We start from the raw sequence: 13,083 nt of genomic DNA on the forward strand, positions 1-13,083 counted from the left end.
GCCTGGCTCTGAATCTCCCTTTCCCTCCCACTGCCTTTCTGCAATTAGATTGCACTGGGTAATAGCTGCCAAGCCGCTTTGTTGGATCTGATGAGTTTATTAATTTCTTGGGGGCTAATGGGAGGGTGGGTGGGGGATTCATTTCCTGACTGGAGCTTGGGGGCTAATTAGTCTCTTTGCCGTGTCCCCAGAGGAGGGAGGTGGGAAGGTGCGTTGCTCAGGCTGTTGGATCTGGCTCTGGGTGTATAGTTCCTACCCCTGGCTTTTACCTGTCTCATGGCTTGGGTCAGACCAGGGAGTCTGGGGCCGGGGCTTCTTTTAGCAAGTGATTGGTGAGGATTAGATCCCTTGAGAACAGTGGCGGTGGGAAAGTGGGTAGCGGGGAGCTGAGGTCTTACTGGCTCTGTTGGTATGAGGTTTAGGATGACAGAAAGGACTCTAAGGAGTTCAGTCCTGTTCCATACATCCCAGTGCTGACATCTAGCCCAATTGCTCTTTCTGTTCTTTCTGCCTAAATATAGCCCCTCCCAGCCTAGGAGTCCATTGGGAGCCAATTCTATCCATTTTTCAGACAGGGAAACTGAGCCTCTTTGAGGACAATAATTTCACCTGGCTTTGTGGAGTGTCAAGACCAAGGAGAAGAAAGCTATGTATTTGGACTTCTTAATGGAATGGCCCTAGAAGCCATTCCCCGGTTAGCCTGGCCTGCTTAAGTGAAGGGCACATTCGTATCCCCACCCCAAGAGACAGCAGCAGAAACAAGAAAGATCACAGAATTAGGAGTCAGACAGATCTAGGTTCAAGCCCGTGCTACACCTGCCATCCGGGGAACCTTAGGCAAGCCATTAAACCTCTCTGAGCTTCAGTTTCTTCATAACTAAAACAGAAACACATGTAACTACTCGAAAGGGTTGATGGGAGAATTCAGAGATGATAGGCTTGACACATCTAACACATCAGGTGTCCAGTAACTATTACCCTTTCCCCATTCATTTGGAAACCTTAACAGCTCATCCCTCACCCATGCAGAGAGGAGGAGGAAGGGGAATCTCAGGCCATAACATGGCCTGGCTGGTCCCTTTAAGAGACAATAGGAGCTCCCAAGGCCAGAGGAGGGCTCGGAGAAAGAGAAAGTGCCTTCCGCCCTAGCCTCACCAACAACAGCAATCTGCTGATAGACAATGGTTTTCCCTCGCTTCCAAAGCCAGGCCCAGAGCAAGGGCACAAGCATAAGTATAAGACCAGCACCTGCTGTCCTGAGCCACACAGGCTGCTCATGGGGAAGACACATAGGTAAACAAGCATGTGCAATTGAATGGTGGAGGAGTCAGACAGGATGACCAGGCAGGCTTCCTCAGGAAGATTCATCTGGGCTTAAGAGTGCAGGGCTTAAAGCTCAGGCCTCTCAGCTGACAGGCTCTGTGACCTCAGGCAAGTTGGGTGGGCTCTTTTGTTTTGGCCTCAGTTTCCTTATCTGTAAAACGGGGCTTGTTGTATGGATGTGTATGAGGCCTTGCTTGTAAACTGAAAAGGAACATGAACACACACAGAACCATGCTGCCCTTGCAGAGATGGGGACAGCTGCCCACCCTTTTCCAGGTGGCATTCTTGCAGGGCGTGGACGGGAGCATTTGGTCATCTCCCCTTTTCCACAGGAAAGGCCCAACTGTAGAGACCATAAGGCTCCTGCCTGGAACTGGAGGCCCACGAGAGCTCCCAGCTGATGGTCTGGGGTGGGCCTGGCTGGCCCTGCCATCCACACTCTCCACCTTCTCCAGACTGTGAAGCAGGGAGCCACTCCCTCTCACTCTCAGTCCTCTGGCCCCATAGGGTGGGGGCGGCGAGAAAGGGTGAAACATGTCTTTACTGTTGCTGGAAATTCCATAAAAGAACCCAGAGCCCAGTTCTGCGGAATAGAACCACATGGCATCTGTGGAACTTGTGTGGGTCTTCCAGGGAAGCTGCTGCTACTGCCTGCAGAAGCCTGGCAGAGAAAGGTGTGTGCATTTCATTGCGTTTTTAGCCAGTCGTCTCTCCTGGCTGCCCACCTAAAAACACTCAGCAACAGCAATGATTTGCCAGGGGCTCCAGCTAGTAGAGATATATTGGGATTTTATGTATATAGATATGTGTGTGTGTATTTTTGTATGTATAAAAAGAGTTCTGGCCAGGTGCAGTGGCTCACGCCTGTAATCTCAGCACTTTGGGAGGCCAAGGCGGGAGGATTACTTGGGTCCAGGAGGTCAAGACCAGCCTGGGCAACATAATAAGACCCCATGTCTTATTAAAAAAATTAAAAGGAGACATCCGTTGGGAAAAACAAGCAATCTAAAAACCCATTGCTGTTGAGTTTAGATTTAGGTAACTTACCAGAATGAAGAACTGAGTAAGTTGTGGATTTTTTTCACCTGGAGTTCTTTGAGACAATGAGACAGACAACAGTAATGTATTGTACATTTAAAAACTTGGTAAAAGAGTACATCTCGGCCGGGCGCGGTGGCTCATGCCTGTAATCCCAGCACTTTGGGAGGCCGAGGTGGGTGGATCTTGAGGCCAGGAGTTTTGAGACCAGCCTGGCCAAGATGGTGAAACCCCATCTCTACCAAAAATACAAAAATTAGCTGGGGATGGTGGCAGGCACCTGTAATCCCAGCTACTCGGGAGGCAGAGGTTGCAATGAGCCGAGATCGCACAACTAGACTCTAGCCTGGGTGACAGAACAAGACTCCTTCTCAAAAAAAAAAAAAAAAAAAAAAAAAAGAGTACATCTCATATTAAGTGTTCTTATCACAATAAAATAAAAACAAAATAAAGGAAACAAAACACAATAGAGAGAGAAAACGAAAGACAACGTGGAAGGAAAGCAGCATGTATTGAGTGCCAGGTTAAATACATTCTTACAATGACCCAATGAGGTTTCTATTATTATCCCCATTTTTTAGATGAGAAAACATGCTCAGAGAGGTTCAGTCACTTTTCTAAGGTTTCACTGTTGAGATCTGCGTTCCTGGGTCTGGATAAATAATGGAACACCCACTGGCACATACATGAGAAGCTCCGAGAAGGCAGGACAAGCATTATCATCCCCATTTATACATGGGGAAACTGGGGTTCTGAAAGATGTGAATAACTTGCCTGAGTTCTCACAGCTAATAAATGAGTCCATCTGGACTAGACCTGTTTAGGTTCATTCATTCATTCATTCTTTCAGCCATCCAGCAAATGTTTATCAAAGGGCATAGTTCTCTCCAGTATAGCCTTCTGGTTCTTATTTTGATAATCAGAAATGATTGAAGGCAGGCCGGATCAAAAGAACTCCGCAGCCCATCCCTGCCTCAAAATAATGTGATTCCACATGTTCCATTCCTTTCTGTGTGAGAGAACTTCACCAAACTGCATTCATTCCTGATTTATTTCTCCATTTTCCTCTCCCACCTCTCCCCCACATCTTTATTCCTTTCTTCCCTGACTGTTACAGCCCCCGTTTCCCTCAGCCCCCCAACCCTGGGAAACAGTCTCCCTTCTGCAGTTCAGCCCCCGGCTCCGTACTCCACACCCCTCCCTGCTCACATGCAGCCCAGCCAGAGGCAGAGGTCAGCCTCTTGGCTCCTTCCAGCTCTGGAGGCCACCATTTCTTCCCAGTCCTCTCCGTTGGTCTCCTCAGATCGGCCAGTGGCACGTGGCAGAGGGCCTCAGCATGGACAGCCACCTCTATGCCTCCAACATCTCGGACACTCTCTTCAACACCACCCTGGTCGTCACCACCATCCTGGTAAGTGGGCTCTCCTAGGCTCCCAGCTGCAGCATCCTGGGGTGCCTCCCCGGCTCTGAGCACTCACAGGCTGCCCCTTGAACAGAAGATGGGAGCTCTAATCACAGCACTGAGCCCAATTTATGACAGCGTAATTACACTCAAGTTGCTGTTTCATATGGAAATGATATTTGATGAGTTCCAGAGCAGGTGGGGGGAGGGTTGGGGTGGAGAGACACCACAGTTTGTGGATGCCTCTTGGAGGCACCCTGTCAGCTGGGGCAACTGTGCAGGAGGAAGGGAAGGGGACCTGTGACACAGAGCGGGCAGCTGGATCCAGACCCTGCGGACCCCTGCCCCTTCCCAGCAGCCCACCTTGCTGGGTGCCTGCTGTGTACAAAACAGGACCCTCCCCCACCACATCCTGAAGCGGACATGGGAATGTCAGTGGGTTTACATGGTCTGTTTCTTCATTTCCAGGTGGTAAAAAGAGAGTTCTCAATCTATAGGGCAAGAGGCCAGGTGCAGTGGCTCATGCCTGTAGTCCTAGCATTTTGGGAAGCTGAAGTGGGAAGATCACTTGAGGCCAGGAGTTTGAGACCAAGCTGGCCAACACGGCGAAACCCTGTCTCTACTAAAAAAAAATAGAAAAATTAGCTGGGCACGGTGGCACACGCCTGAAATTCCAGCTACTTGGGAGGCTGAGGCACGAGAATCACTTTAACCCAGGAGGCAGAGGTTGCAGTGAGCCGAGATCGTGCCACTGCACTCCAGCCTGGGTGACAGAGTGAGACTGTCTCAAAAAAAAAAAAAAAAAAAAAAATACAGGGCAAGAGACCATGTGCCCTTTTTTATTTGATTCTCCTCTATTCAGTAATTGCCAAGTTCACCCTCCCTTCCCTGTCCCCCTGCCATGTGCCAGGTGCTGTACCCAGTCCTGGAGACCAAAGATGAGTAGGACTCAGCTCTGTTCTCTATCCTGAGGTTGTAAGTTAGTAGATGGGATAAGTCAAGTGCATACATGGCCAAGGTATTATTTGTCTTCCCCTCTGAAGACCTTATGTTTAAAAGATTTGTCAATTAAACCAACTACATGTATTAAGCAGTAATTAGTTTGTTCCTCCCCTCCCCCTTTTAACTAATCTAAAGCACTTTTCCCTGCCTGGCCCAGCATCTTATTAGCAGGAGATAGCCAGTGGAACCTCAATGATATCATTGCAGCCCAGAGCAAAGAGGCGATGCATGAGTTCGCCTCCTCAGCCTTATCATTGCTAACTGTGCAAGGTCTGCAAATGTGTCCATGTCTTTTAGGCTTTTGGAGATAATAAAAAGAGTTCAAGGACCTCCATCACTATCTTTATGAACTCCTGGGGCCCAGGCGCCCTGGGCTGAAATGATTGATCTACTATAAACAGAAAGAGATAAAAGCTGGAAAGAGACACACACCTAGGACTGTGGGGTTTCAAGGAGAGAGAGGTCCCCTCCCATGGGGAGGTCAGCAAAGCCTTCAGGAAAGAAGGGGCATTGACGATGGGCTCTGAAAGACAGGGAATGAGTGGGGAGGAGAGGTCAATGAAGGAGGGCATTGTCGGGTGTTCAGGAAAAGCTGAAAGGTACAGGTTTTCCTGAGAAATAGACACTGGTAAGAAAGGGAAGAGGCATAAGCCAGAAAAGTGGGTTGGGTCCATAGAGCTTAGGAACTTGAATGCCAGGCTACTAAGTTTCCCTTCACTGTGAGGAGATGGGGTCACTGAACATTTTCATTCATTCATTTATTTATGTGATGACTGTTTATTGGGTGCTGCTATATGCTGGGCACTGTTGTAGGTGCTCAGAGTGCATCCATGAACCAAAAAGACAAGAATCCCTGCCTGTAAGGAGCTTACATTCCAGCAAGGAATGTGTGATAGACAGTAAAAAGCAATGTTGTCAAACAATGAATTAGAAGGCAGCAAGGCTGAGGAAAAAGAGCTGGAGCCGGGAAGGGCCTGGGGTGCTGAGAGGGTTGGTGATGTTGATACCCAGGGGTCAGGGTGGCCTCTCCGAGAAAGGGAGCATTGAGCAGAGACCTGGTGGAGGTGAGGACGCAGCCAAGTAGTTGCCGGGGGAGGGGTATTCTTGGCACAGGGAGCTGTCGAAGCAAGCACTGAGAGAGCAGTTCCAGCCCCCAGGGTTTCACCCACGCCCATCTCTGCTCAGCCTTAGCTTATCTGAACCAGTGTGAAAATGCCAGAAAGATGAGAGGGTTGCGGTGTCGCTGTCCAGCAGAGAGCTGGGAACAGCCTGGCTGAGTCCACTTTGGGGGAGGGGGTGCAGCACCCAGTGTGATTGCTGGGACCTCCTTCCCGCTGTCTTCTTAGTCTCTAAAAATCTTCTGGATCTGTCCTCTTCTATCCATCCGCAAAGCCCCTGCCCTAATCCAGGATCGGGGCCCCTCTACTTCTTTCTCTGGAGCCGCTCCATACTCTGCTGGCAGGCTCCCTTCTTTGTCTGCCTGTCCCCCGACCCTCCTGTCAGCGTGGTCATTTGAAAATCAGAATTGGCCTGGCATTTCCTTCCTTACAATCCTTCAGCCACTGCCCAGGCCCTGCTGCCCCTTACCTTGGGACATAACCCTTGTAACCAGGCCCAGCCCACCTCGCCTTCTCCTCCCCATGCAGCATGGGGTCTAGTGGATGGCTCAAGACCTGCTCGCTGCATCCTGCCGCTCGCTGCATCCTGCCCCTCCCTGCCTTGGCACATGCTGTTCCTTATGCCTGGGTTACCCTTCCCTCTAATTTCTGTTTCCAGCTGGAAATGTCTATGCATCCTTCAAGGCTCTGCTCAGATGTCACGTCTCCCACGAAGCCTTCCCTGCTCTAACTCCTGTCCTCTCCTTGTCTCCAGCATTTTTCCCTGCCCCCTCCCATTTCTCTTATTAGAGGTCATTATTTAAAGCTTTACCTCCCCTTCTAGGATGAGAGCTCCTCGAAGGTAGAGGGGCTGACACAAAGTAGGAGCTCAATAATTAGAATCTGAGTGAAGGAATTCCTTCCTACAGGGTAGGGGTGTCCCTTAAAAGCCAGCAAGACTTTGGGAGGGAGATGGGGAAGTGGCTGGGCTGTACTGCCAGCCTCTCAGAGCCGGGAATTACACCGTGCTTGGAGTTCTGGCACAGATCCACAGCTACGCCAAGTCCACAGGGTCCTGTTGCTAGTCTGGGAAAGTCACCCTGATTTGTGCATGTGTGCACGTGTGCTTATTCACATACGTGCACGTGCTCATGAGGGGTGGGGTGCAGGCCGGACACTGGTGTGTGAGGTGACATTTAACAACATGGTAAGTACAACTCAAACAACTATTAGCCTTGGTTCTTTTCTTGCGCGTGTGTGCCTACAGTGGCTGATCCAATTCGATAGCTCTTACCAGGAATGACGATCTTAATTCAGTTCCCAGGTGACCATCTGTGGGTTTTCCCTGGCAAATGGTAATCCCGAATGATTTATCCCTTAAAACTCAGCACACATTCATGTTGTCTCCCCGCTCTGGTCAGGGCACACTTGGGGACGTGTGGATGGTTTATTGGTTAATGCCAGCAAACATGGAATTGGCTGCCGCTCCCATTCCCTGAACACCTTTTCTGTATCAGACCCCGTGTTCAGCGGTTTGCCACATTCTCACCTCGCGTTCACAGCACCCCTGCTCCAGGCTAGCACTCAACACCCCAGCATTCTCCAAGGTGCCAGTGAGCCCTAACCATCCCCATCCTTGGGCTTTCCAACGCGTCTCCAAGACCGGCCTTGTGTCTGTTCACTTTGAATATGTCAATAAGTTTTAAATTAACTTGAGAGTAGTGAGTATTTGGGGAGAAGAATTTGTGACACCCCTTGGGACAATCAAAGATACAATGGGACATTACCAGTCCTGAGATGGAAACCCCCAGCCATGCCCTGTCCAGGAAGCCATTTGTTTGCTTCTTACTCACATGATCGGCAAGTGCTTAATGCTGAGCCAGGTAGGGGAACCAAGCAGGTGACGAGTCTGTCCCAGGACCCACTCCCATTCTACCTAGAGCAGGCGCAAATCGGAAAACATTGGAGGGTGATTGTGTGGGCCCTGGCATGAGAGCAGGGGAGTTCTGAGACATGGGTTGGCACAGAAGGAGGCAGTGTGACTCTGCGGACAAAGATGACTAGGTGAGGTGGAAGATGGGGGAGTGTGTGGAGAGTTTGTGCAGGGAGAAGCCCTTGTGCTGAGGACGGCGTGTGTGGAAGGCAGGCTGACCGTTCCTATCTCATTGACGTGACAGTGGACTCATCCAGAATCAGAATCACGTCACCTTCCACTCAGAGCTCCCGCTCCCTGACACATGACCTTTGCCTTCTGGCTGCCCACTTCATCACGCCCACATCCTGCTCTCCCTCACAGTCCCTCCATGACCTTGTGTCTGTCTGGCCCTCCATCTTCCCCAGCCTAGAAGTCCTTCTCAGAACGAGCTCAGCCCATCAGGATTTCAGTGCTTTCCTCTCTGGGCTCCTAGAATCGTGATGTGCAGGTTTCTCCATGCACACCTGTACCCAAGCCCGATTGTCCCTGCCACCCCTGCTCCCAGCTGCCTGTCTGCATCCAGCCTCCCCTCTGCAGCCGGGCCTTGGTAATCCCTGAGCCCAGCTCTCCTCTGTCCCTGTCGCATCCCCTGAGCGGCTCTGCTGAAAATCTTCCCACACACCAAGACTCAAGCCTATCTGCCCCACTTTCAGCACAACTCTGGGGCCAGCACGAGCTCCCTTCTCTCTGTGAACCCACCCATACCCTCTACCTCACCTCCAGGCTCAGGCCTCAACCTCACCCCGCCCCACCCTGCCTCCACCCTGCACTTCCTGGGCCCTTGCTCCACCAGCTAGCATGGTTCTTTCCTCCTCTTTTCTCCCCTTTTCCAGGGATTTTCCCTTCCTGCCTGTAAATACACCCTGGACTGTCCCATCCTAAAACACCATCGCCTTCACCTTTCCTACACCCTGCTGCCCTTCAAGCTGCCCTCCAACGTAGGGAGTCACAGAATCACAGAATTGGGTGGGCCCCTGGGACCCCCAGCCCTGCTGTTTGCGGTGGGGAAGGAGCTTGGAGGAGAGGCGATCTGCCCTCTCTGTGCCTGCCGCCTTGCCTCCCTTAGCTCCTAACCTGTCAAAATGCTGAACAGCCCTCACTCCTGTGGCACTCGCTCAGTCCTCATCCTACGGAGTCCTGCTGCCCCCACCACGCCTGCCTTCAAAAGGTCGGCAGTGACACATGATCAACACGCTGGTTCCCAGCCCTGCTAGGTCTGTGAGAATGGTGGGAGTGGCTACATCCTCTATCTTCCAATTTCCTCCTCCTTGACGCTAAGATCATGTTCCCCTGATTTTCAGCCTTCCTGGCTGCTTCTGTGTTGTCTTCTGTGATTGCCCTTCATTTCCCCACTCTCTAAGACCAGGTTCTCCCCAGGGCCTCTTCTTCTTCCTCTTCTGCCCTTTCTCAACTCTTCCCCTTGACGGTCTCACATATTCCCCAGCTTCAGCCTTGATCTCTGTACATGTGCAATCTCTGGCCCCTGTCTTACCCTTGCTCCACATTTTAAACACCCAGTGGGTCACTTCTGCCTGCGTAGCCTGCCAGCACCTCAGATTCAACCTGTTCCAAATCCTCCTCCCCTCCAGGCATTCGAGCCCATCATGACACCACCCTCTGTTAGTCATCCACCGGGCTCCAAGGCTCTGAGGACCCACACCCAACCAACCAGTTATCAGACCTGTTCCTTTCTGTGCCTCTTACATCCTTCTGGCTTTCTCCAATCCAACCTGCAGCCCAGGATTCAGGGTCTCATCTCAGGAGAGGGTCTGTCCTCACCCCTGGATGCTTCCTCTCCTACTACTTAGTATTCCTTACTCGCAGCCTTGCGTCTTTAAAACGCTTGATGCTTCCCCCCTATACCTTGTGTAATGTGCAGCCACCACTTCCTGGCATCTGAGTCCCATCCATCTACATTTCTCCTCCCATCTCGCCCCTGCTCACAACCTGTGCTCCGGCTACCCTGGAAGGTCCATCGTCCACTGAGCAGCCACTCAGGATCATGCCCTTGATTGTGCCTTCCCCTGGCCCATGCCTTTCATTCACAGCCCTTCCATCTCTCAGTGTTCTGCCTCCTCCAGAGCCCAGCTTGGATCCCACCTTCAGCTTGGAGCCTTCTCTGGACATCTCACTGGAGAGACCTGCCCTCTTCCCAATGCCCTCCTTGGACTGCAGTTGCACATGTACCTGTTCTTACCTAGCCTGCTTATTGCAGACATCCTTATATCTCTGATAATGCCCAGCCATTGGTCTGCCTGGAATAAAGCAGGGGTAGAAAAAAAAGAGAGAGATAGATAGTGGGGTCAGATGATGACCTTAAACAAGTTGAAGCAGCTTGAGCCTGACCCTCCATGCAGTGGGAACCACTGTGTGTTCCTGACAACAGAAGCACCTTGAAGGACAGCTTTAAGGAGCACATCAGGGAGAGGAGCTGGTCATCACCCCAAAGTAGCCCATTACCCACGTCAGTTTCCTCCTTCTGCCCCATGTCCTCCCCGACCCTCTGTGCCCCTGGCCCTCCCCATCACACGCGGGTGAGACACCAGGGCTAAGATGAGAATGACAGCTGCCCAGTTTTGCTGCAGGAGAACCCATATTTAATGCTGAAGGGGAACCACCAGGAGATGGAAGGCAATGACCGCTACGAGGGCTTCTGTGTGGACATGCTCAAGGAGCTGGCAGAGATCCTCCGATTCAACTACAAGATCCGCCTGGTTGGGGATGGCGTGTACGGCGTTCCCGAGGCCAACGGCACCTGGACGGGAATGGTCGGGGAGCTGATCGCTAGGGTAAGGAGAGGACAAGTGATCTGGGCCTGAGGGTGGGCTGGGAGGGATTGGAAGAGCATGAGGTTGTGCTGCACGCTCATGAACCCTCCATTTGTTCAGTCAATCATTCATGCATTTGTCATTTATTTGTCCACTCATTCTATAAATCTTGCCTGGACTGGCACAGACGTGCGGTGGTGGATAAGCCTGCAATGATCCCTATCCCGTGGCTTTCCCAGTCCAGAGCCTGTGACAAGTCATGGAGGCTCTGATTGATTAACACAGATGAGGGAGTTTGGGTTCCATTTTTGGTGCTTTTTGATTGTTCTGATTATTTTGTGGCTCATTAGCACTCCCTAGCAGAGCTTGAACAGGTCCTGGGAGAAGAGAATGCACCCACATCAGCTGGCTTGGATCCTTGAGAGACACTGCCAAGGGAGACGTGGCTAAATAACAGGGCAAAGGGATTGACTGGCAGAGGAGTTGGTCACAGCTACAGTTATTTTCGTACATCTTGTGTTATCTTTGGTTAGCGTTAATGTCCTTTTACAGACCGAGGGCCAAGGTGTGCTTGGACCTGCTGTAGATTTTCAGGGTGAATGTGGAGACGTGATTAACATTCAGGTGAGCATTGGAGAATGTCAGACATCTGTTAGGTTAGAGCAAGGGTATAGAAAGTTCTTCCAGGGGGAAATCTCTTGTTTTCTTTGTACACACTATTAACAACTGTAAAAATTAATTAAGTCATTGGGAATTCACCATCCATATTTCCATAACTGAGTTTTAATGATCAGGATAGGTGATGAGGACACAATGCAGAGAGCACAGACCTGGGTTCTTGATGTGCCCTTGATCCAACTCTTTTCCCCTCTGGGCTTTCAATGGTAGAAGGAGCTCCTGCAGCCTCCCAGCATGTGCTGATGTGCAAGGTGTTTTACATGCATTATCTCTAATCCTCTTTAAACACACCTTTTAGCTGGTTGTTAGTCCCACTTTACAAATGAGCAATCGAGCCCAGAAAGCTTGAGTGACTTGTCGGGAGCTATACTGTTAGCATGAGGCAGGGCTCAGATTGGAACCCAGATCTTTTTCTTTATTGAATTAATATGCTTTAAACCCTTTATATCAAACAAACTTGGAAATCAAATAAATTTTTAAAATCCTACTCTTCAATGATAAAAATACTATTTGAGGTATTAAATAAGCAGTCCTTGACAAGGGATTGGGAAAAGTCCTATGTAGATGAGAACTGTGGAAAAGGTGTTTAAGAACTGAGGAGGGAGGATACTTCAGGAGTTTGCCTGACGGAACATGGACGGCATCTGCAATGACCGAGCAGGGTAAAATGGCCAGCCTTGTTCTGGGAATTCTGAACGACCCAGGGTGACTGGAGTCCAGAGAGGGCTGGTTCAGAAGGGAGGCCTTGCCTTCAGAGGGGCGCTTGCAAACAGACGGCTGACAAGTCAACAGAAGGCTGCAGAAGGCCTAGGGAGCCCTGGACGACTGCCATGGGGGTGGGGATGGCAGGGCGAAGGCTTCAGCAGAAAGCCCTCTGCAGTCCTTGAGCCTCAGTTTTCGAGATTCAAGCCTGATGATGTACGTGCTTAAGTGGAAGAGGATTTGTGGCTTTCTCTACTTAGTCTTTCAGACCCACTCCTGAAACATTCTTCTTATTTGGTTTCCACTGTGAAGGTGCAGCTCAGTAGTTAGACCATAGAAAGCCGAAATGCCAGGCCTTTTCTTTACCTTCTTACTGATGTCCTTGTTCACCTTGAGCTGATTTCTTTGGTCTCCTTGGGCTGCCTGATGACTGGTAGGGTGACTTCAGAGACGGCGGTGTCAGTGCACAGCCATCTCCTTATTAGCCCCCTAATGAGCTGTGACATAGACTGGAGGACAAGGAGAGGAGTCTGGGACTCATAGACATGCAGCCACACACCGAGTGACTTGAACAGTCAGAATCTTAGAATTCACCCCAGATCTTTCAAGCAAAAATACTGCTGCTTTGGCCTCATTGAGACTTGGCTACTTGACATGAACTAATTAATTAACCCATTAATTCAATAAATATTTATTGAACATCTTCCACTGTTGTAGACACTGGAGATACAATGGGGGACAAAATAAACACGGACACAGCCCTCACAGATCTTCTGGACTAGTGAGTGAGACGGAGATCAATGAATGATCGCATTCTTGTGTAATTTCAAGCTGTGATAAGTGCAGGGGAGGCAGAGTGGAAGGCGTTGTAGGAGAACATCTAGAGGAGAGTAGGATGCACGGTGGGCGCACAATGGGGCTGTAGGGGGAAGGCTTCCCTTGGGATGTGTGCGCTGGCTTAGGGAGGATGGGTGGGAGTTTCCTGGGCAAGCAAAAGGTAGAAGGCTGAAGGCCGTTGGTGTGCCACTGGGGTTGGTCCTGGATGGGAGTTGATGACACTGGGACCCCACCATCCCCAGGTTTGAAGGATTGGGATGT

General features: G+C 50.6%; 1 protein-coding gene across 16 annotated transcripts in view, besides 1 other annotated feature; it reads left to right on the plus strand.

Moving 5' to 3' along the window:
• Window positions 1–13,083, plus strand: part of GRIK4 (glutamate ionotropic receptor kainate type subunit 4) — a 477,159-nt gene that overhangs the window by 383,120 nt on the left and 80,956 nt on the right. For 14 of the 16 annotated variants that reach the window (NM_014619.5, NM_001440404.1, NM_001440403.1 and 11 more), the window contains 2 exons: window positions 3,665–3,772; window positions 10,423–10,626. The exons of 1 other annotated variant lie outside the window; for it this stretch is intronic. In NM_014619.5, coding sequence (NP_055434.2) covers window positions 3,665–3,772; window positions 10,423–10,626 — 312 coding nt within the window. The remainder of the gene's footprint in view (window positions 1–3,664; window positions 3,773–10,422; window positions 10,627–13,083) is intronic. One more of the 16 variants, XM_017017622.3, reaches the window with a different exon arrangement.
• Window positions 6,011–6,510: an enhancer, noted in NCBI's record as "H3K4me1 hESC enhancer chr11:120771587-120772086 (GRCh37/hg19 assembly coordinates)". NCBI's record gives its function as "activates a minimal SCP1, AML or CMV promoter by ChIP-STARR-seq in naive H9 embryonic stem cells {active_cell/tissue: H9 hESC(naive)}" and the evidence as "EXISTENCE:reporter gene assay evidence [ECO:0000049][PMID:30033119]".

The sequence above is a fragment of the Homo sapiens genome, chromosome 11 (assembly GCF_000001405.40).
Source record: "Homo sapiens chromosome 11, GRCh38.p14 Primary Assembly".
Classification (NCBI taxonomy): Eukaryota; Metazoa; Chordata; class Mammalia; order Primates; family Hominidae; genus Homo; species Homo sapiens.